The sequence below is a fragment of the Homo sapiens genome, chromosome 1 (genome assembly GCF_000001405.40).
Source record: "Homo sapiens chromosome 1, GRCh38.p14 Primary Assembly".
NCBI lineage: Eukaryota > Metazoa > Chordata > Mammalia > Primates > Hominidae > Homo > Homo sapiens.
In genome coordinates, this window is record NC_000001.11 from 202,215,779 (window position 1) to 202,239,003 (window position 23,225).

Below are 23,225 nucleotides of genomic sequence, written 5' to 3' on the forward strand. Positions count from 1 at the left end.
CTGGGAGCTGTGGAGGAGCTCCCAGCCTGTCTGGGGAGACCAGCTACATGAATGAGCAGTCTGAGATTAGGAGATGACAGTTTTAATCGAGCACAGGATCGTGTGGCCTCACTTTGTGACTGAACCTGCAGAGATCAGAGTCAAAAGGCCAAAGGGATTAGTCTGAGGAAGCCCTGTGACACTTAAGTCCCAGTCCCAGCACTTGTCACTCAGGCTTGTAATTGTCCACTCTGTTGTCATTGTCCCCACTTACTTGGCTCTTTGAGGACAGGGAGCATCTGTGATTGGACTTTGCCGCTTCGTCACCTAGCATAGTGCCTGATGTATACTAGGTGCTCAATAAATGTTGAATAGACAAATGGCTGCATGACTAAATGAATGGTTGAAAGTTGGAGGCTTCTTGCAGGAGGAGGTACTTGAACTGGGCTTCAGTAAATGGTTGAGTTGGGTGGTGATGCTCAAAGGTAACATTTGTTGGTTACTTACCATGTGCTAGGCACTGCCTAAGCACTTTACCAGGGAGGAAATTAAGACAAAGACAGGTGAAGTAATTATCCAAAATCGCAGAAGCCAGTAAGTGGCAGAGCTGGAAATCAAACACAAGTCAGTCTGACAACAGAGGCTGTACCATTGCTGCCCAATAGAATGCCCTGCGATGATGGATGTGTTCTAGAACTGTGCTGTCCAATACAGGAGCCACTATCTTTATGTGGCTATTGAGCCTTGAAATGTGGCTAGTGCAGCTAAGGAACTGCATTTTAAATTTAATTTTAATGAACTTAAATATAGTCACAAGCGGCTAGTGGCCACTGCGCTGGACAGTGTAGGTCTTGCGTTGTCTCTCAGAGAGGTAGTAGAGAGCAGAGGGGGCCCAGAAGCAGTCCCCCATATTTTCATTCCTCTCCAGAGGCTCTGCTCTGTCATACTCCTGGGCTGTTCTCAGGTCACACTGTGGCTCCGGCTGGGCCTGGGAGGCCTGGGTCCCTTTAACTTCTCTGCCTGTGGGTGGCATGGCTTGGCAAGGAGGAAGGAGCCATTGAAGGAGAAGCACACACACACATTATGCAATCCCAGTGCCACGCTTTGCTCTTGAGAAGCTTCTCCTGGCTCTGGGCACAGGCAGGGGAACACCTCCCCAGGCTCTCTGAGAGCCACAACTAATTGCATGGGGGCAGGAGTGACCTTTTGCACCTGACCTGATGTAACACTTCTGACTGGGATTCAGGAACTTGTGTGGGCCACTCCAGCTTCACAGCTGTGCCGGGGAGAGCTAGAGATGTCCCCTCAGCCTGCGATGGGCCTAAGTCCCTCCCAGGAGGATTCCCCTGCAGTGCTGAGGGTGGGGACCGGCCCCAGAACTGTCTCCATCTCCTCACTCTGCCCAGGGGCCCACACCCTTGGCATGCTGTTGCTGTCAGATTAACCCCTTTCAGTAAGAAGAGGTCAGAGCAATACGATTTAACCTGAAGTTGGTTCCTGTGGTGGTGCCAAACCATGATTTCCCAAATCTAGCATTTTTGAGAGAGAGGAACCTCTCCTGGGTCTCGTCCCTCCCTGACCTTTCTCTGCCATCAGGGTTTTAGGAGCCCCACACCACATCGATGAAACACCACGATGCAGTGGACAGTCTCTGACTTCTGACTTCCATGGTCTTTTAACTCAGGGCAAACAAAACAAAACAAAAAACAAAAAACCCCACCTTTTTGTTTCTCTCCCCTGACTTTTAGGAATGTCTTCCCCTGCCTTTATCCCTCCCAGCCCCACCTGAATGAATTGGGTCACCTTCGGGCGACACTGTGGGTGCCCAGCATCTCCCTGGCTCAGTCTGACCTGCACAAGGTTTGCCTTTGCTTAGCAACTGCCAGGGACTCTCTCTCCCCTCACAAATAACCCCCCACTCCAGGCACCCCTCCAGCTTCTCTTTTACTATCTTCCCCCACATCCTGTCCTCTCCATCACAAGCCCTCCTGCCACTCCAGGCAGTCTGGGAGACATTCCTTTTACCAACAAGGGAGCCAAGAAAGGGCAAAATAAAGCAGTAGCCCTTTTATTTAAAAATACAGCATTGTTCTCACGCAGGACTCTGTGCAAAGCCAGAGAGAACAGGTTGTGCTCTTATGTGTGTGTGAAGATAGACACACTTTTTCCTGATGGAAGTACACTCCCTTGTTTGGATATTTGTGAAAATTGCAAAAAATCTGAGACAACTTTGTGTCATCTTGTGTGTTTGGAATCTCAAAGATGATAGCTAGTATTCAAGTCATCTCTGGTAAGAAGGTGCCATCTAAAGTGGGGAGGCTGTGCTAGAAACTAAGATCAATCTGGTGGGTGGAAAGAGCATCCCCCAGGATTTTAGGAGACCTACTTGTAACACCCACTCTGCCATGAACTTGCCATGTGTCCTTAGGTAACTTTGTTCCTCTGAGTCTGTTCCTGCACTAGCAAATTGAAGGAGTGTAGGTAGAGGAAAGCGCCTGCTATTCAGGGGGTGTTTGGAAATGCATGGGGTGTTTTTCTTCATTTAAAATTTTCTTTTAAGAGAGAAAGTCTCAGTCTGTTGTCCAGCCTGGAGTGTAGTGGTACTACCCTAGCTCACTGCAGCTTCAAACTCCCAAGCTCAGGGGATTCTCCTGCCTCAGCCTTCCAAGTAGCTGGGACCCTAGGTGTGTGCCACCGGGTCTGGCTAGTTTTTAATTTTGTATAGGGATGAGGTCTCGCAATGTTGTCCAGGCTCATGGGGTGTTTTTGATGGTCACAATAATAGGGAGATGCTCCAAACACTTATGAGCAAGGCCAGGGAAGCAAAAAGCTCTGCAGCGAGTGGGACAGTCCCGCCCAGTAAAGAACTGCTCATCCACAATGCCAACGGAGCCCCCACAAGTAACATGAGGTGCTCTCTGGTGCTTTCCTCTCTGAACTCAGTTCTGTGGGTTGCTCACGTCTCATCCATGCCCCAACTCATTCTGCCCGGGAAGCCTTCTCTGCTGACCCTCTCTCCTGAGTGTCTGTTGTACTCTCCAGTCTGGGCACATGGTCTAGAACCTAATTGGGAGGGCTGCAGAGCAGTTTGTAAACTACAAAGCGGAGTACATATATGGAGGTTTGCCGTCCCTTTGTGAGTAAAAAGTCCTTCCCCAGCAACATTGTCAACTCCTTGATGGCCCAGACCTTGTCCTGGGCTTTGTCTCCATCTCACACAGCACTGAGCTCAGTGCACAGAAGCCCATGGGAAAACAACTTCATGACCTTCAGGGCTGGCCGGGAACTTAGCATTCGTCTAATGGAACCAGGTCCTCTGATTCCAGATTCTGTGTTCTTTCCTCTCTACCCCATCACCTGCTTCTCTTGTTGACAGAAAAATTCAGCAAGTGTTCTCTGAGCACCAAATGGTCTCCGTGGCGGCCAGCCTGTTTCCTGGCTTTTTTCAGTGGGAGAGAACCCCACCTTTGGACTCTCAACAGTGGCCTGTCCTGCTCCTTGCCAAACCACGAGCTGTCTCCTGCCATGGCAGGATATGTGCCCGGCTCAGCCTGGCCCTCATGGGGAGGGGTTGCTGCTGAAGGTTGTCTGGGCAGCCCGTTAAGCCCTAGTCAGAGACTGAGAGGAGAAGGCTCTGGAGAAAGCTGCTGGTCCACTGCAGGAGCCAAAGGATTATTTGGAGGAGGACCTCACTTTAACTTCTCTAGAGGATGCCTAATTAAGAGAACAGGGAGCGCTGTGAGCAACAGCCTTCATTGATTGGGTGCCGGCTTGGAACTAAGCATGGGGTAGCTTCTTTATAGAGGTTAGGCCATTGTAGCAGCTGGGGGAGACATTGACACTAGGCAGTAGAAGAACTTCCCTAGAGTAAAGGCTCAGCCACAGGAACATCACCTGTGTATGAGAGTAATGCACTCATTTGGATATTTATTGAGCACCCCATTTGCCAGGCACCCTGATAGGACTGGAGGATACACAGATGACTAAGGTTAAGTCCTTGCCTTGAAGAAACACATAGTCATCTGTGTCATTCTATACTAATAATTATAATTCAGTTAGATGAGTAGAATATTAATAATAAGGCATAGTTATTGAGCACTGGGTTTTATTTATTTATTTATTTTATTTATTTTTTTTGAGACAGTTTCATTCTTGTTGCCCAGGCTGGGGTACAGTGGCATGATCTTGACTCACTGCAACCTCTTCATCCTCCCAGGTTCAAGCAATTCTCCTGCCTCAGCCTCCCAAGTAGCTGGAATTACAGGTGACCTTCACCACACCTGGCTATTTTTTTGTATTTTTAGTAGAGACAGGGTTTCGCCATTTTGGCCAGGCTGGTCTCGAACTCCTGACCTCAGGTGATCCACCCACCTTGGCCTCTCAACGTGCTGGGATTACAGGCATGAGCCACCGCGCCCGGCCAGCACTGTGTTTTATATTTATTTACTCATATACTTCACACTACAATTTTTTTTTTTGAGACAGAATCTCATTCTGTCGTCCCGTTCGGAGTGCAGTGGCATGATCTTGGCTCCCTGCAACCTCCGCCTCCTGAGTTCAAGTGATTCTCCCTGCCTCAGCCTCTCAAGTAACTGGGATTACAGGCACCTGTCACCAGGCCCGGCTAATTTTTGTATTTTTAGTAGAGACGCGATTTCACCATGTTGGCCAGACTGGTCTTGAACTCCTGACCTCAGGTGGTCCACCCGCCTCAGCCTCCCAAAGTGCTGGGATTACAGGCGTGAGTCACCACGCCCGGCCCACACTACAATTCTTGTGAGGTAGCTAGTGTCATTATTTCAATATCACAGGTGAGAAAATGGAGACTTAGAGATGGGAAGTGACATGACCAGGGTCACACAGCTAGTGAGTGTTGTCCTGGGGGGATAACAACGGCAGGTGCTGTGCTACATGCATGGTAAGTGCTCAGTAAGCACTGTTGAGTGATCATATGCAAAATACTGTGGGGACGGGGTTCTGGGAGCACCTCACAAAGGAGGGGACTGTGGGGCATAGCCAACCCCAGGGGCTCGGCTCCTGGCCACTGTAGCTGGCCTTTTCCTGAAAGCAGATCTTAAATGCTCCTATCAGACACACACACACACACAAACACATACACTCACACACATTCACACACACACACACTATGTGAGGTGATGACTATCTTAATTAGTTTGATTGTGCTGATTATCTCACAATGTATACAGAGATTAGATCATCAAGTCATATGCCTTAAATCTATACATAAATAAAATAACTGGCCTTTTCCTGGCTGCAGAGATGGGCAACCTGAGTCCACAGTGGGGCAGTGGAAAAGGGGTTTCTGCCCCTCCAGTCTTTTCTCCAGCGGGGCAGGTGGGCACAGTTCCCCCAGGTCCACCCCAGGGGACCCAGGGGCTTGTTTTTCACTGTTTCTTCTTCCCATAGGAAAAATTCAAACAGACCCAATCCCCTCGGGCCCTGGGATATGAGCCAGATTGCCTCGGCGGAGGGTCTTCTATGACCCCAGCCCCTTTCAGCTGCTCTCTGACCCCTCCATCCCCCAGCATCCTCCCTCTTATCAAACCTGTTCCCTGTCTCCATGGTGACACCACCTTACCCAGTTTCCTTGGGTGGTCTGGTTGCCTCACAGGGTGAAACTCTGAGAACATTTTCCTCATGTGCAGCCAGAAACTTCCACGTCCCATGCCCACAACTGCCCCTCTCTTCTCTCCTCTCCATTCCCCTCCTGCACGTCTCTCCCTGAGACATTTCCCATTCCCATCCCATCATGGCTGTGTCCAGTTGAGAGGACTCATAGCCCTTCTGGGTATCCCAAGGGCTCCCAGGAAGAAGGCTTCAGGATGGAGTTACAACCCATCATCTCAATCCCCTTGCTGTACATGCATAGGTACAGATAAACACATGTGCCCTCACACATGACACACACATGCCCAGCACCCTCAAAACAAGTACATCCAAGAGCCCAGCTATCCCATCCCATGACCCCCACTTCTTGTACATGTCTACAAGTTCATGCAGCCAAGTGGATGTAGCCACAACCAAACCCCAAGCACCCAAGGATCAAGGTGTCCTCTTATTTCCCCTGGGTCCAGGCAGGGCCTGAATGTTTGAGCTGTGCCCTCTGAGTTGCACAAAAAACCAGCTGCACAACCAACCTCCCAGGACAGTCATATGTCAGTAGGAACCACCAACATACCAACATGACAGAGCAACCTCTGTGTTTGGAGTTTCTGTGTGTCAGTTCCTTCCCTGTCATTGTGCAGGCACAGCCTCCCCACAGCAGGGCCCAGTGCCTCTTGCCAGGGCTCTTAGCCATTCCCAGGGCTGGTGGCATTGGCTTGGTGGCTCTCGGCCTTGAAATCCCCACTTCACCTCCCTCTTCCAGCTCTGCACGCTCCTCTTCCTTCCCCTTCCCCTGGCACCAGCCTTACCCCTTTTCCTTTTGTGAGAGAGCCAGCCCTGAATGGGGCTCCCTCCACCCCTGAACAGTTGAAATTCACCCTCCTTGCCCCACCCCACCCCCTTTACTGAGCACTGCAGCTGGGCTTTGTGTTGTTTTGGGGCAGGATGTGGGGGCGGGTGGAGGGGTTCAGGCCCCCTCCTCCGCAGGGGAGAACAATGAGGCCGCTAGTCAGGGTGGTGGGGCAGAGGGAGTGGGTGGGGTGGGGGCCATGGAGGGACATCAGAGGCTCTGCGGCCCGGCCCCTGGGGGGACAGCTGAGTGATGAGGCCTGAGTCACACGCCCTGAGTGCTCCTTGAACTCCCGCTGCGTTCCTGTCGAGACACATCCAGAAATGCACAGGGTAAATATTTAGAGGTAATCATTTTTTTTCGGCACCTCGAGCCTCCTGCCTCACTGAGAATGAGCCAGGGGTGGGACACCAGGGGGAGGAGTCCGATCTGGCCCAGCTTCTGCGCTTGGGTTTCTGTGGGTGCCACCCTACGTTCCCCTGACACTGTCCAGTGTGCTCCTGCACCTTCGCATTTCAGCCACAATCCAAGACTAGTGGGGCCTGAAAACATCCTGAGGACCAAACCCTGGCTTAAAATCCATCCACAGGCTGGGCGCAGTGGCTCTCTCCTGTAATCCCAGCACTTTGGGAGGCCAAGGCAGGAGGATCACTTGAGGTCAGGAGTTCGAGACCAGCCTGGCCAACATCATGAACCCCATTTCTACTAAAAATACAAAAATAGCCAGGCGTGGTGGCAGGTGCCCATAATCCCAGCTACTCAGGAGGCTGAGGCAGGAGAATCACTTGAGCCCCGGAGGCGAAGGTTGCAGTGAGCCGAGATCACACCACTGTACTCCAGCCTGGGTGACAACAGTGAAACTCTGGGGAAAAAAAAATCCATCAACAAACTCTCTGGGTTCTGCCTCTCTCCCACCTGAAACTATGGCCACAGCACACCACCTACAGCTTCTGCGGATCCCATTTCTAGACCGGCAAGCCCAGAGGTGTTCTGCAGGGGAGCAGGGAGGGAATGGTAGATGAGAAGCAGCGCTGGGTGCAGCATGCCAGTTCCTTGGTTCTACCCTGCACGGAATGTCTTCCTTCCTTGGAGGACATGGAGTCCAGAGCCCAGGCTTTATCAAAGATAAAACATTTGAGACTAAACAGTCTTTTTATAGATTGGAACAGGACTCCCAAGCACACGCTCTCCAGGCTGTTCCCAGCCTGCCTTTCTGGGCACACAGAAAGCACACGCATTTCTTGGGGGGAAATGCAGACACTGAGGTTTGAGGGCAACAGTGCATGTCTAGGGAAAGGAGAAAGCCTCAAGAAGGCTTGGGGGCAGTGCCCAGCTTGTGGTGGTCTGGTCTGAGCCCACCTCTGTACCCCCTCAGGGAAGGGGCAGGCAGAGACGAGAATCAGGCATTAGGAGTTTGAAGTAGGATGGAATGCAAATGTGTCAGGCACACACACACAGTCTCACACACTGTTGCTCATCCAGGCACAAACTGTGAAGAAGATGCCAACACAGGGTAGGACCCACAGAGGAAGGTACCAACTCCTCTCTACTACTTTCCTCCTTCCATCTTTCCCTCAGTGTCCTGTGGGCAAGTGTCCCAGCCCCACAGGCCTGTGAAAAGGCACCAGCCCCTCTCCCACCGGCCTGTGGGGCTGGGACACTTGCCCACAGGACCCCGAGGGAAAGGCAAGAGGAGAAAAGCAAATATGTACCTTGTCCATACTATTTATTAGGCAGTCTGTAAGCATTAGCTCACTTAATCTTTACAAGCACCCTACCAGCTTGGTGCTGCCCTATTTTTATAGATGAGGTCAACTAGGGGCCCAGAGGTCAAGGGCCCAACGTCTGATAGGTAACTGCAGAGGAGAGATGTGACCTCAGGGCCTTTTGACTTCGAAGCTCAGTGCTCCTTTCTCTCTGTTTTCTTGAGTGTAAAATGGAGATAATGATGGAAGCTAATTTGGGGTTATTGTGAGAATGGAAGGAGGTTGTTTGGGTAAAGATTAGCCGGTGTCTGACACAGAGTGGACCTGCAGTAAATGCCAGGGTAATTATTGTGATTATTTTGTGTGCGGGGCCTCTAAGAGGACAGTGACACTGAAACCACCCACAGGGTCTGTCAGATAATATGAGCTTAAGATGATTGAGGCTGTGGATCCGCAGAGGGACTGGGATCCTTACCCCACCTGGGAATCTAGTGGTGTGCCAGTTCTGTGATGTGCCAAGGTGTCATGTCTTCCAGGTGGACTAAGACAGTGGTCCCTAACCTATTTGGCACCAGGGACCAGTTTCATGGAAGATAATTTTTTTCCACGGACAGGGGTGGAGTGTGGGGGATGGTTTCGGGATGAAACTGTTCCACCTCAGATCATCAGGCATTAGTTAGAGTCTCATAAGGAGCATGCAACCTAGACCCCTCGCATGCGCAGTTCACAGTAGGGTTCACACTCCTATGAGAATCTTTTGCTGCCTCGGCTGATCTGACAGGAGGTGGAGCTCAGGCGGGAGTGCTCACCAGCCTGCTCACCTCCCTCTCTATGTTCCGCCTGGTTTTGGTCTGCTGCCCCCGGGTTGGGGACCCCTGGACTAAGGGAAGCAAACAGGTAGAGCCTGGTAGACACCTCAAAGGGCAGTGAAATGCCACTAGCTCTGGGATTGAATCAGAGGTTGGTCCCCCAAGGGGAGCCCAGGGACAGTCGTACCAGTTCATGAATACTGAATGAGCCTGCTCCATAGATTGAAATAGCAGTGATCTCTGGGCCTCAGTTTCCCCACTAGTAAAAAGAGTGGGTGAGATATTATTTGTATTTGGCGATCCTTCCCTTCCTGCTCTGAAATTCTATGAATTTTACTCTAGTTCCTCGCTTTATAGGGAGGCCAGTTTCCTTCATAATCCCAATCACAGCCAGTCCCAGGGGAGTCTCACAAAGGACAGGTGAAAGGCAGAGGGGAAAGTGGGAGACCATATAGAGAGAATCACCAAATGACCCGGGAGGCCTGACTCCCAGCTCAGTTCTTGCTCTTAGAGAGAACGCAGCTGCTGTTGTCAGACTGGCTTTGGAGTCAGAATGGCCTGGTGGGGGGTACTGTGGGAGCCTCGGAGGTCCCTCGAGGGGGGTTGGCACCTGGACAGTGCCAGATGGCCCAAGTGGGGAGTTCACAGCTCCTTTTTCCATCTTCTCTCCACCAGGGACCTCAGCATGAACAACCTCACAGAGCTTCAGCCTGGCCTCTTCCACCACCTGCGCTTCTTGGAGGAGCTGTGAGTAGATGCTTTGCAGGGTGGGAGGCAAGCATGGGCTCTGTCTAATATCTCTGGAACCAGAGCTCCCCAGGAGGTGGGGTGGAGAGAAGAGAAAGGGGCTTGGGAAGCTAAGACAGTTCTTGACAGCAGGGTGTTCTTCAGCTGACACCTGCCCCAGGTGTGAATTGACATGCTGGGCCACATGGCATGGGAAGTCTAGGATCTAGCTTTCATTCCTCTTTGAAACCAGCTCCTCTTTGCAGCATTCCCTCCTAACTTCTCCCTGGGAGTCATCTTTGACCTGCTGTCATCCCCTGTGTCCAGCCACCAGCCCCTCCCCAAGTCCTGGTGGTTCTTCTCTGGGATGTCTCTCACCTCCACCCCGCTTCTCTAGTCCCACTGCTACTGCCCCAGATGTCCCCTCACATCTAGGGGTTGAACCAGCCTCCTAACTGACAGATGCCCTCCTTCCATTCTAAATTACTCTGCACACCTTCAGGATGCATCTCACCAGCTCAAAAGCCTTCTGTAATTCCCCATGGCCTAAAGGATCCATTTCTTAGACCCTCCCTTACAGTTAAGGCCCATTTCCTCCACAAAGTACTCCCTGGTGAATCCCTGCCCACAGTGGTCACTCTCAGGTTGGGATTCTTCAATCTGGCCTTATATGCTAGGGGTGCTCAAAAGTAAATCATCTCCTGGATTAGAGTGACTGGACTGCCTGCTCTGGGGAGCCAGGTCATTCTGTCCCAATCCTTGCTTTCATCCTAGCTCTGTATTTCCAACACCTCCCAGCCCTGTTTTTTCTAATTTTCACACCACATAGATCCTTGCGGCTCTAGAAATTTTGCTTAAACTTCTCAAACTGAGTGTTACAGCTCTTTTAGAATTTGTCTAGCTCTTTTAGAATTTAAATAAAAAATAATAAACAAAGAAACTTCGCAAACTGTGAGTTCCTGGCCCCGAAAGCATTCACAATTTCACCTCTACCCTGGCCCCACTACTCCCCTAACAGACCTTGCCACCGTGACCCTAGACAGTGCTCCCCAGGGATGCGGTCAACCTGCCCCTGTTGGAGTTTTGACCCCCAGGGCCATGGCTTGGTATCCAGACCAAGTACTTGTTGAACCCCCTCTGGTAGACAGGCAAGCTCAAGGTGCTCTGGGAGAAAACAAGATAAAAGCCTTCCTGCCACCCCCAGGGAATGTCCAGGTGAGGCTGAAGAGTAGTGTGGCCAGCAAGTCAGCAGGGGAGTGTGGCAGCTGTTGGCTCAGGCACCCAGGGCATTCTGTGTAAGGGAGTGGTCAGGGTTGGCCTGGCCAGTAGGCAGGAAAGCCTTCCTGGAGGAAGAAGATTAAACCAGTTTTCAAAGGAGACGGACAGGGTAAGAGGCAGTGGAGGGGCCTTTTGAAGGGGAGATGACCCAGCTTAGATGGGAATGCAAAGCAAGAGCAAAGGCCAAGGAGCTCAGGCAGGTGACATTGGACACGACCTGAGAACTTCAGGCTGACTTTCCGTCTCCCACGACCTGAGAGGTCTGGACCCATTTTAGAGGCTCCACCTAAAGGACCTTTCCACGGCAAATACCCACCTACAGAACCCAAGCTAGGAGACCTCAGATGTCACGATGCCTTTCCACATAGTTTTTTTTTAAACAATAAATGTCAAATAAAGGGACTTTTATTAGAGATATATGTTTTAAAAATAGTGTCTGAGGTATGCCAGCACAATCTCCACATCTACAAGCCTCTTGGTAGGAACTGATGCACAAAATAATGTCCCTGGGGACTTTGGAGATCAGGCAGTGACTTCTGAATCATCCACCATTAAATTCTGCTCAGTCAGGTTTCAGCATTGAGTGTATTTCGTTGCATTTGCTCCTTTTAGAATTGGTGATTGCCCCGATAAACATGGAAACGCTTAATTAGACCAGAATGTTAGATGAATTACACCACCCCATTTCCTTAACCCTCTTGGATTAGTGAGGGTTAGCTGTGTAGTTTAGGGCCTGGAGAGACACAGACACACCCCCTGGTACTCCTCCCTCTACTGATGACACCATATGATGCAGTCCAGCAGTTGAGAGCAGGCGGTGGGTAATCCAGGTTAGCACAGGAGAGGATGTGGGGAAACTGTGGCCGTGAGCCTTCAAATTAGTCAGGTCTGGGTGAGAACACCAGGCTCTGCCATGGACTGGTTCTGTGACCCCTAGGGGACGTGGTTGACTTCTCCTAGCCTCAGTTTCCTCATCTGAAATTTGGGGAAAATAATAGGCACTTTACAGGATTATTGTGAGAACTGAGGCAATGCATGTGAAGTATTAAACGCATCGTAGATTTCAATAAATAGTAGTTTTTACCACCGCCCTCCCTTCCCGTATCTCAAGACACTTTCTTATGGAGGTCACCACCTCCTTGGGTTACCTGCCAACATCGCTGACCCTTGTCTCTGATTTCCAGGCGTCTCTCTGGGAACCATCTCTCACACATCCCAGGACAAGCATTCTCTGGTCTCTACAGCCTGAAAATCCTGTAAGTATAGGTACACCTCATTTTACATAGAGCTGCAGCACTGAGAATGGTGAGCAAATCAAAGTTTTAGAACCCAAGTCTTGGTTTACCACTGACTTGCTTATTATTTCCTTATCTTCACTTTCAGTTTCAATTGTTATTTCCATTTCTTTGCTTCACCTTGTCTGTAACAAACTTTATGATTTGTAAATAAACATTTAATTGTACCTGCTACATTCAGCCACACTAAAAGGAAGTGAAACATTTAAAAAAATTAAAGTGTATAATGACCATCGACATAGGTCTTTGTGGGACTGAGTTCAGTTACAGACCCACAGGTCTCTCCCCATGACCTCTAGCCCAAGAGACGGATAAGACTGTTTCTGGAGAGGGGAAATACAGGTGGCTTTTCTTTGGCTTTTCTTCCCCTTGCAACCCAACCTTTGTCTCTGTGGCTGCAGTACTGAGTTTCCATTCTGGCTATAAACATATTCCCTCCTTCGGTCTTCATGTTGCTTCCTCCCTGCTCCTCCTTTACCTATTCCCTTTGAAGCAAAAGGAAAGTGAGAGTTGGAGAGGACCTTTTGTTATTCCACCTAGCTTCCACTTACCATCAAACTGATGGCCCATTTCAGAGAAAGGAAGGCTGAGACACAATCTCCTCAACTCATGACTCACCTTGTTCCAACTAAGACTGTCCTCCCAAAGCCTCCTCATATGCTTATGATGAGTGAGGGCAAGAGGAATTGGGAGGAAGCGGATGCATAGGGACTGAAGGTAGATAGGAGAGGTTCCCAGGGAGGTCGCGTTGCCACAGGGTCTGGTTTGGGAAGAAAAGGAGGATATTAGGGACTGATGCTGGAGCAACAGAATGAGCATTTGGGGCTTCCCTAAAGTGGTGAGTCATTCCCAACTCTGCTACTCCCTTACCCCTGACTTGCAGGTCTCCTTTGTACAGTTGAGCAGGTTGTTCATTGCACCAGAGCATCTGGTTAAGGAAGTGAGAAGGGGCTGAATCCCGTCCTGTGCCCTGGCTTGGGGCTGCATTCACCCAGAAAGCGATATCTTTTAAAAATGTACTCAGAGGTGCTGATGGGCTAGTGGTGGTCCTGCCCGCCTTGGCCCATGAGTTCCAGGCTTCCAGCTGGTCAAGTTCAACACTCCACATCTAAGCACTTTCTCCTTTCCCTGTGTTGTTCGTCTCTGGCCCCTCTGCCTGTGAATCTCTAACTCCCAGGGCTCTCTGGTCTCTATCTTTCCCTTACTCTCTGCTCTGTCCTTGGGTCTCTCCTGTTGTCACCTTGTCTCCCCCTTCTCCTTCTCCCTGCCCCACTATTCCCTGCCTCTCAGTTCTGCTTCTTCCTGTCTCCTCTCTGTGTCTCTCTCCCCATAAACTTCTCTGCCCTGGGGAGCAGGGGAGGCATTCTGAAACAGACACACAGTGCAGGCGGCCTACTTGGTGGTGTGTCTGTGCCCAGTGGCAGGCTCAGACCTGCAGCCCGGATTAGAGAGCAGGGCTCTGTTTACTGGGCCTTCAGAAGATGTAAGACTCACGTCCCATTCCTAAGACTCCGGCTTAGAGATGAGCCTCCTCTTTCTTCTTTGCCTGCATTAGGCAATAAATCAAAGCTTCAGAGAAACCACAGGCCTCCCGCCCCCCTTTCTGCAAATGGCACCCTTGGCTCAGTGAGTAGGGCAGCAGGGGGAGGTTGTGGGCAGAAGTTGAGTGGGAGCTGAGGACAGCCAGGCTGTCTGCTCCCCACTTTGCCATTGAGCCTCATTTTGCCCCATCCTCAAAGATCACCTGGTCCCCCAAAGCCTTTGTGTCAGTCCTTGGCCTACAGAACTTCTCTACCTTAGGGATGGGTTGGGTGGTCTTGGGGAATTATCCTCTTACATGCTTCAAAGCAGAAGATTCCACCTGCATCCTAGGCACGAATTACTTTCTGATGTCTGATGTCAATTTCCCTCGTATTTCCTTCCATTGCTTGCTTTTCAGAGCTGCAAGAAAAATAGAGCAGTAGCACCATGATAATGACAACCTATTTTTGTACCAGGAGACAGTCACCTTAGCTACTCCCCAGTCTTCTCTGGGCCTGGGACCCTTATCTGAGTGGCCTCTTCTTATTTCAGAGGCTGGGCTCTCCCTGTGGGACACTCTGCCTTGGTCCTTCTCTCCCGAGGCAAAGGATTAAATAAAGAGGATTCCCTCTCTGATTCTTTCTTAAATGACTATGGCAGAAGCCCTCTCTCATGTCTTTCCCACACCCCCCCACACCCCCACCCATCCCTGCCCGATCTGGAGATATTACTCTTAAGATCTTCTTCTTCTGAGAGTTCTCTAAGTCTTCAACCCACAGGCTCTGGCCAGGCTCAGATCAAGGGAGTCAGCTACTGCAGGGAACTTTCAGTCTCACATCGCTATCTCTGTCCTGTAGAGCTGGCAAGGCCCAGACGCTAGTCTTAACCATCACTAGTCTCACCATCCCGGCTCAGCACTGGAGCTGTGCTAAGGGAAGCCATGGCTCCCTCTGCCCTAGGCATGTGGGAAAATGCCCGAGCCTCTGAGGGCTCCTGTCCTGCCTGTTTTTACACAGGGGCAGCTTTGGCCAGAGCTCCTGCATCTTGACCCGTGGACTAAGGGTGTGGGGATGCATGTGTGCGTGTGTGTGTCAGGCTTCTCCAGTCTTTATCTCAAAAGTTTCCTGTCTCGTCTCCATCACAGGTTTCTTTCCCCAGAGCTGGCCTCCCAGAGAGCTGGGTGAGGCCTGAGGCTTGGTCATCTTCTCACATCTGCAGACCATCTCCTCCCTCCTTATGCCAGATTGGCCTGACATAAGATGGTCTGGCATCTAGAAAGACTCCTGCTGGGCTTCAGTTGCTTCTTACCAGGCCCAGATCTGGGAAACTGGGGTAACAGTCTGAGGACCTGCCTCCCGTCCTGCCCTCAAGAGACTGGGCAGGAGATTTTCCCAGGTGCCTTGCTCCTGGATTGAGTCCCAAATCCTTGTAAGTCTGTGACTGTGGATTCTTAGCCCATGCCATCTTGATAAAGACTAAGGCTCTTAGAAGGCAGCTCCTGCTTCCTGAGCTGCGGCCCATCCCATATGAAACCCTGGCTCCAGGCCACAGAGGAGTGGCTGGGAGTTAGCATCTCCGGGACCCATCCCGGAGGAAATCTCCCTGAGCCAACCTCTAGTGTAGCCCTTTTCACCCTGTATGGAGCCATCTTCAGTTGACATTAGCTGTGTTTACTCTGTGCCTGGCTAGGCAGTGACCATGCCTGGCTGAGCCTGGGCTCCATTAGTGTCGATGAACTGAATTGAACTGACCCACGAAGGGAAATGCTGGTCATTTGGGAGTGCTGGGCTCTGTCCGAGCCTCACCAACCTGGCTCGGGGGAGAAGGCTGCCCTCTCTGAGTCACCCCTGTACATGAGGCAAGGCCTGCTGCCCTCATCCTTTCAAGTGATGGGATGACAGGGAGTGGATCTAGCTCTGTGGATCTCATGTGCAGTCAGAAGCCTTGAGGTCAGACTCAGAGCCTCACCAGACCCCAGAACAGATGTTAAGGAGGATCTCAGATTTCCTCTCTCTGAGCCTCCGTTTTCTCACCTTTTAAAGTGGAGGAGTCAGAATAAAATTTCCAACATTTTTAGCTATGGAAACTTAAAACAGATTCTTTGTAGTTCATACACATGATGATCGGTGTTCACACTCATACGTGTGATGTGCCACCCTTGGACCTTGTTACGACATCAGCACATTACCCCTCTACATGAAATTTTTTTTTTAAAGGAAACTTAAAATCAAAAGCATTTTGTGGGCTGGGTGCGGTGGCTCATGCCTGTAATCCCAGCACTCTGGGAGGCCAAGGCAGGTGGATAACCTGAGGTCAGAAGTTCGAGACCAGTCTGGCCAACTTGGTGAAAGCCCATCTCCACTAAAAATACAAAATTAGCAGGGCGTGGTGGCGCACACCTGTAATCCCAGCTACTTAGGAGGCTGAGGCAGGAGAATCACTTGAGCCCGGGAGGTGGAGGTTGCAGTGAGCAACCTCCTTGAGAGTTGCGCCATTGCACTCCAGCCTGGACAACAAGAGCAAAACGCCGTCTCAAAAAAAAAAAAAAGCATTTTGTGCAGACCTCCCAATACATAAAACAGATGAATGAGGTCTCTGGTTAAAGTGAGTGAAGAGGGTGGTACACTCCAGGCTGCATCTTACCTACCCACCCCATAACCCCCAAGCACTTCTACAGAACTAAAGGAGCCTTTGGAAACCACAGGTGGATCACCTCTTTTATACTTTTTGGATGTGATGTGACACTCATGGTTCCTGCCCCCAAATGCCTCTCTGGCCAGAGAGATGCTTCACATGTGTGAGGGGAGGAGTGTTGAGGACTAGACTTCTACTGGACCAACGGCTGCATGTTAGAGTCAGCTGGGAGCTTGCAAAACTACTGCTGCCTCATATTCCTTCCCCAGAGACTTTGCCCCAGAGATTTAACTGGGCTTCAGTGTGACCTGGGCATTGGGATTTTAAAAATCATCCCAGAGGTCAGGTGCAGTGGTTCATGCCTGTAATCCCAGGGCTGTGGAGGGCTGAGGCAGGAGGATTGCTTGAACCCAGGAGTTTGAGACCAGCTTGGGCAACAAATCAAGACACCATCTCTACAAAAAAATGTTAAAACCTTGTCTGTTGATTCTGATGTATAACCAGGGCTAAGAACCGCTGGATTAGATAGACTGCCTCTCCATATAGAACCAGGGCTAGAAAAAGAAGTAGGAAAACATCGTCACAAAAGCATTGGCCCGAGAGACAGGACTTGAGTCCTAGTCCTGATTCTGCCATTCATTTGCTTTGTAACTTAGGGCAAGTTACCTTCCCTCTCTGAGCCTTCACCTCCTCATCTTGGAAAACAAAGGGCTGTTTCCTTCCAACCTTTATAACCCAGTTGTAGTTCAATAAAAGAATGATGGCTAGGAAATGAGAACAGGGACATCAAGGGAAATGGGTCAGGGCCAAAGCCGACTGCCATGCTGACCTCCAGCTTGATGGGTGTTGATTCCATGAATAAAAGGACTTTCTGATAATCAGGCTGTCTGGCATAGGATGAGTTGTCTCGGGGAGACAATGAGTTCCCTGACACTAGAAGGAAAATTAAGTGCTGTGAGAAGATGTTACAGTGTCTGTATTGGGAGGAGGTACAATTCAGAAACCTTAAAGATCTTTCTAGTTATCTCTCTGGGATTTGACAAAGGAAAGGATGGAGGAATCTTAGGAGGTGATGTAGGTAAAGATGCATTGAGGGGCCCCTTGGAGCTCGGGACTCACTTGTGCAGTGACCAGATGTAGCCTCCTGGGCCCCTGGAGGGGTGGGGCCTGTGAAGAGGCATGAGCAGCCTGCGACCCCCTGTTTTCTCAGCCATCGTTTCTCTTGTATCCTTGCTCCAAGCACCCTCAGGCTTCTGCATGAGAATCAAGGCAGGCCTCTGAGATGGGAAGCGAAGGCCCACCCTTTAGATGAAAGAAGTCAGGATGGCTGGGAGGGTAGAAACACTAAGCAGGGCAGAGGGCAGGAAATGTCCTGGATGGAATGTTACCACTGAGTGAGGCTTTATGCACCTTCTGGCAGCCTCTTCCTTTGAAAGATGAAGGAATCAAGGTCCAGAGAGGGGAGAGGAAGTGACTTACTCAAGTCATCCAGTAAGTGGTAATACTGAAACGAGATACTAATAATGATAATTGATAGTATCAGTGAATGTGCTATTGAACTTGTCCTCTGTGTGAGACACTGCCATTGAGGGCTTTACAGCGGTGATTTTATTTGATCCACACAATCAGTGAATGAGGTCAGTATCATCCCCAACTTATAGATAAGAAAAGAGAAAACTAAGGCCCGCGGTTCTTAAGTAGCTTGCACACTACCCCACAGCTGGAAAGCAACAGAGCTAGGATGTGGATCAGGGCTGTCTGACTTCAGAGTCTGCATCTGTGACAACTATACTGTAAGGAAGCCCAAGAGACACAGGTTTAAATTCCAACCCTGAAGCAAAACTCTGTAACTGGAAAGGCCCCTCTGGCATTGGGTGGAGCCTGGATTGAAGGGGACACTGGAGGCCAACAGACCTTCAGGAACACAGAGTTTGCATGGAAAGGGGCTGAGCCCTCCAGCTGCTCACAGCCCTGGGCTCTGCCCCTTCCTGCAGCCAGGCCCTTCCCTTGTATGGCCCTTGCCCCTTCCCCACCCCTTGGGGTGGCAAAGAGGAACCTAATCCCAGGGGTCCCCAAAGTCTGTCTTTGTTCTTTGTTCTCCCTTCTGTAGCCTTGCCTCTATGAAGGGCTCCTCCTATCCCCACCCATTCCCACAGTGAGATCAGCATTCTTTTGTTCTTGTGATGCTGAGGTTGGGTTCATATTTGAGATTTTCACATACCCGTAAGAGGAGTTTAAGAGAGATGACATGTGACTCTGACCAGGACGTCACATAGGAGGCATGGAAAACAACTCAGGCTCATCATCTTACTGCTCAGCATTTTCTGGCCACTGCTGTATCCCACCACTATGATAGATGCTGTGGTGTAATGGTTAAGTGTCTAGACTGTGGACCCAAACTCTCTAGGTTCAAAGCCTAGCTCTGTCAGTTAGCAGTTGTGTGCACCCTCAGCATGAGGATGATAATAATCCCTATCTGTTGGAGTTGTAACAAGGGTGAGTTTGAATTAATACAAGTTCTAAGACCAGGACCTGGCACATTAGCCATTCCTATTATTAAACTAAAGGACCAGAAATTGGGCTACTCTTCCTGAAGCGTGGAATTACCTTAATGATTGTGCACCAAGGCTTCCCCCTCTGAAAGATGGATGGATACACCATAAAGGGGTAATTGAGTCTCCTAGGGTAGGGCTCACTCACTGTGCCCAGGGCAGTCAGCAACTTCCTCCCTTCTTGCTTCCCCAGCTCTTCCATGAACTCCCTGTGTGCTCTCCTTCTCATTTCTGGATCTAAAGGCCTGGAGGGTTTTCCTCCTATGTCTTTACCCAGTTCCTTCTCTTGCTCAGGGCTCTGTGCCTCAGGGGACTCCCTGCGCTTTCGAGTGCTATCCTCAAAACTTTCTAAGTCCCCTCTGATGCCTGGGGTTGGCTAGAGTCAGCAGTGCCACCTGGAGTGGCGCCCCAGGCCCTGTTTCTCCCCTTGTACATGCTCTCTGACCCTCTACCCTACACATGGGGTTCCCAGGTGCCCTGAGGAGCTCCAGGACTCCTGCCTATGGAGTCATCGTGGGGTTTTGGGACTTAGGTCCTGGTCCCCAGAGGACAGCTAGTGAGCAGATCGTTTTCATTGGCTGGCACAGCACTTCTTTGAGGGATTAGGTGAGATTGGGCCATGAGAATAGTGCAGATACACTCCTCTGGAGTACTTCGAATTGTTCCTACAGACAAAGGCTGAAAAAAATGTATTTGCCTGGGGCACTGACACCCTAAGGGCAGCCTTATCCTCATCCACATCCTCCCCTTCCATAAAGAAACCTTTAGCCTTTCAGATGAATAGACACGGAAACTGACAACCTACATTTTCCCACATCCTTCCTGACCAAACTTTAACAAAATCCCAAGTACTCTTGACTTCAGAATGTCTTCTCTCCTTCCTCTCCATGGTCTTCTTCACCCCTGCCTCCTCCTAGGGTCCCTTCTGAGATGCTCTCCCTGAACACTGGGCCTCCCTGCCCCATGTACAACACCCCAGGGACCTCAGCAGCCTCTGAATCTGCACTAACAAAGCAGGGGAGCTGGACCAGACTCTCTCTGGGGCTCTGAGGCTGGGGTGAGAAGGAGGGGTCTGGCTTGGGACTGGGGGTTCAAGGGAGGAGTCAGCACCCTCCAGCCAGCTCTGCATACCATGTGCGTCCTTAAAGCCCTTTCTCTTCTCCCGTAGGATGCTGCAGAACAATCAGCTGGGAGGAATCCCCGCAGAGGCGCTGTGGGAGCTGCCGAGCCTGCAGTCGCTGTGAGTCATTAGAGGGCTGGTCTGGGAGTCACCAGCTTCCTGGGGCCTGAGTCACAGCCCAGGGCCCCCTGCCTCAGCTTTCCCTTCCCTCTGCAGGCGCCCCCTCTCCCAGTCCACGTTCCAGACAGCATGCCGCTCCTGGCTTTGGTTTCTCCGGGGTTTTCTGTTGTCATCAGTGTGTGGCTGTGTACACTCCTATGCATATTTCAGGAAAAGAGTGCTCCCACGCCCCACTGGGGGACTGTGGGAATGGGACCTCCCTAGGTGAGGCCACCAGGCCAGCGGTCCTGGGGCGACTGGTGTTCTGCCATTGGAGCCTGGGTTTAGGGGTGGAGACTGCCGCCCAAAAGAAGCATCAGGAAGGGGTTGTCTCCTCTACCTAGCCTGCTCTTGCCCCTGGGCTCTGCTGTGGGTGGGAAGGAGGCTAGGCTCAGATACTCATTTTCTCTACTTGGGGGTGGGACTGTCCACAGGGACTCACAGGCCACCCATAACAGATCCCTCCCTCCAAGGAGCCCTGTAGTTCCCTTCTTGTCCAGCAGGGGCATCGTGGAAGCCAGACCCAGCCTGAGGGTGGAAGCGGGAGCAGGTGCTCCAGGGTGATGTAACCCAGCCCAGTGGGAGCCGCTGGGCTTCATCCACATAATGCACAGCCCAAGGCCTGGAACACAGTAGGTGCCTCATACATGCTTGATGAACCTAACTTAATTATCAGGTACAACTTCATCCGATGGGAGAGTGAACAGATATTTTGGGAGAAGTCAAAGTTGGGGGGCAAGATTGGGGCACAGCAGTTAGCTAGTGGGGGAAACTGAGTCATAGTGGGCATGCAGTGTGTCCGAACAAAGGCCTCTCATATTCTCAGACTTTGGCGCTGTTCAGTCTGTGGATGTGGAAGTCAGACAACTTCTGACTTCTCCTTGGGTGGAAGGAGAAATGAGGTGGGAAAAGGTGACTTTCCTTCTCATGACTGATATTTAGGCCCCATTCCACCTTACACAGAGGGCCAGCTGTGGGGGTCCTGGCTAGCAGCTGTGCCACACCCCCCGTGGTGAGGGCTTTCCTCTCCTACTCCTTCCCTGGGTGCCCTCTACCCTCCTGCCTCTGTGTCTGGTCCCTGGCACCCCTCAGCTGCTCGATCGATCGGCCCCAGTGGCAGAACCTGCCTCCCTGCACTCTCTCAGCTTCTGCCCCCCCTTCCCAATGAGTGCTGGGCGTCTGGCCCCAGCCCTCTCCTCTCCCTCCATCCAGCCTCACCCCTGGACAGGGCCAGGCAACCCAGTGTGCCCCTAGAGGCCAACGTCGGAAGACCAGAGGCCAGGCAAGCCTGTGCTTGCTCCCCACCCGCAGGGGCAGACTAAACATTTGCCTAGGGCACCAGCGCAGCAGGGACAGCCAAAAATAAGGGAGGAGGAGTGAGGAGAATTTGACATTTCATCCACAGCCTCAAAGAGGACTTCATAGGGGAAAAAAATTAGACTTTCACTGGACTTCTTCACACTTTTAAGGTTGTTAATTAAGTTTACTTTTTTAAAAAAAATCGTGAATCACATATTCTGAGTTCTTGGGGCTTCTAAAGGTCTTGCTTTCGGACTAGGCATGGAGCTTTTGGGCAATGCAGACAATTTTCCCTACACTTTCTGGGAAGTGGGCAGCCCTTGTGGCTGGGAGAACCAGACCATTAGCTTCCACTTTCAGCCCCATTATTCTCCTTTGCCTGGGTATAACAGGGCAGGGGACAGAGGTCAAGTCCCCCACTCCCCCAGTTATAAGGCAGATGAGAAGATTTTGCTTTTTGCAATCCTGCAAGAAGAGCACTGGCCTGTGTGACAGAAAATGTGGCTTCAAGTCCTGGCTCTGATCGTGACTACTGTGTCATTTGCCCTCTCTGCACCTCAGTTTCTCTATCTTCAAGGTGGGGATAATTATCTTCCCTGCCTCACAGGGTGTTGGGAAGATCAAATATATAGTCAATGTGAGGGGGATTTGCAAAAAAAAAAAAAAAGACTTCACACAGCTATAATGTATGATGATGTTATTGTGAGATCGTTCATCTAACCAGTCATTGATCCTCCGCCGTTTTTTTGTTTTGTTTTGTTTTTGTTTTTGTTTTTGTTTTTTGAGAAAGGGTCTGGCTCTGTCACCCAGGCTGGAGTGCAGTGACCTGATCGCAACTCACTGCAACCTCCACCTCCTAGGCTCAAGCCACCCCTCACCTTAGCCTCCTGAGTAGCTGGGACTATAGGTGTGCACTACCACGCCAACTAATTTTTGTATTTTTTTGTAGAGATGGGGTTTTGGTTTTGCCATGTTGTCCAGGCTGGTCTCGAACTCCTGAGCCAAAGCAATCCACCTACCTTGGTCTCCCCTCCCACAGTTCTGGGATTACAGGAGTAAGCCACTGTGCCCAGCCTGATCCTTTTTTTTTTTTTTTTTTTTTTTTTTAAGACAGAGTTTTTTTGCTCTGTCGCCCAGGCTGGAGTGCAGTGGTGCGATCTCAGCTCACTGCAACCTCCGCCTCCTGGGTTCAAGAGATTCTCCTGCCTCAGCCTCCCAAGTAGCTGGGACTACAGGCGTGGGCTACCACGCCCGTCTAATTTTTATATTTTCAGTAGAGACGGGGGTTTCACCATATTGGCCAGGCTGGTCTCGAACTCCTGACCTCGTGATTCACCTGCGTCGGCCTCCCAAAGTGCTGGGATTACAGGCGTGAGCCATGGGGCCCAGCTCTATTTTTTTTTTTTTTAAACAAAATTTTTTGAGGTGGCAGAACCAGAGTTGAGCCTTGAAAGACTAGTATGAATCAGGTGAAGAGGCGGGGAATAACGTTTCAGACAGAGGGAACAGCACACGCTGCAAAGGCACAAAGTTAAGAAGGAACCTGAAAGGTTCTTGTATCGGTTGGAATCCCGAGAGCTCCCCAACAGCTAACACGAAGCGGTGCGTTTTAACAAGAGCCTGGGTGCCGGCGGGCTGAGGCGTAAAATGGCGTCAGCCCCCAAAATGGCGT

At 50.8% G+C, this 23,225-nt stretch overlaps 1 protein-coding gene, 1 long non-coding RNA gene, 1 other non-coding gene and 1 pseudogene across 18 annotated transcripts in view, besides 3 other annotated features; 3 read left to right on the plus strand and 1 right to left on the minus strand.

Moving 5' to 3' along the window:
* Window positions 1-23,225, plus strand: part of LGR6 (leucine rich repeat containing G protein-coupled receptor 6) — a 125,963-nt gene that overhangs the window by 21,980 nt on the left and 80,758 nt on the right. For 13 of the 14 annotated variants that reach the window (NM_001017403.2, XM_047426928.1, XM_047426929.1 and 10 more), the window contains exons 2-4: window positions 9,645-9,716; window positions 12,158-12,229; window positions 20,144-20,215. In NM_001017403.2, coding sequence (NP_001017403.1) covers window positions 9,645-9,716; window positions 12,158-12,229; window positions 20,144-20,215 — 216 coding nt within the window. Of the gene's footprint in view, window positions 1-9,644; window positions 9,717-12,157; window positions 12,230-20,143; window positions 20,216-20,754; window positions 20,887-23,225 lie in introns of those variants that run through there. The other variant, XM_017001997.2, reaches the window with a different exon arrangement.
* Window positions 8,203-8,497: a silencer, noted in NCBI's record as "tiled region #5820; HepG2 Repressive non-DNase unmatched - State 22:ReprW, and K562 Repressive DNase matched - State 22:ReprW". NCBI's record gives its function as "represses a minimal TATA promoter and a strong SV40 promoter by Sharpr-MPRA in HepG2 and K562 cells {active_cell/tissue: HepG2 | K562}" and the evidence as "EXISTENCE:reporter gene assay evidence [ECO:0000049][PMID:27701403]".
* LOC124904750 (uncharacterized) lies at window positions 10,566-10,620 on the plus strand (annotated as a pseudogene).
* On the minus strand, window positions 11,363-23,223 carry LOC101929388 (uncharacterized). 3 transcript variants are annotated; one of them, XR_001738376.2, is made up of 6 exons: window positions 23,097-23,179; window positions 14,106-14,209; window positions 12,887-13,028; window positions 12,650-12,753; window positions 12,122-12,227; window positions 11,540-11,948 (listed from the first exon to the last, which is right to left on the minus strand). It is a non-coding gene; the product is annotated as an uncharacterized LOC101929388 (long non-coding RNA). The 3 variants fall into 3 exon arrangements; XR_922425.3 differs by lacking the exon at window positions 12,650-12,753 and having other exon boundaries at window positions 11,363-11,948; window positions 23,097-23,223; XR_922426.2 differs by lacking the exons at window positions 12,650-12,753; window positions 23,097-23,179 and adding an exon at window positions 20,107-20,298 and having other exon boundaries at window positions 11,363-11,948.
* LOC124904839 (small nucleolar RNA U13) lies at window positions 15,886-15,986 on the plus strand. The gene has a single exon (XR_007067435.1). It is a non-coding gene; the product is annotated as a small nucleolar RNA U13 (small nucleolar RNA).
* Window positions 19,841-20,533: an enhancer, noted in NCBI's record as "H3K27ac-H3K4me1 hESC enhancer chr1:202204747-202205439 (GRCh37/hg19 assembly coordinates)". NCBI's record gives its function as "activates a minimal SCP1, AML or CMV promoter by ChIP-STARR-seq in primed H9 embryonic stem cells {active_cell/tissue: H9 hESC(primed)}" and the evidence as "EXISTENCE:reporter gene assay evidence [ECO:0000049][PMID:30033119]".
* Window positions 21,602-21,651: an enhancer, noted in NCBI's record as "active region_2333". NCBI's record gives its function as "activates an Ori minimal core promoter by ATAC-STARR-seq in GM12878 lymphoblastoid cells {active_cell/tissue: GM12878}" and the evidence as "EXISTENCE:reporter gene assay evidence [ECO:0000049][PMID:35858748]".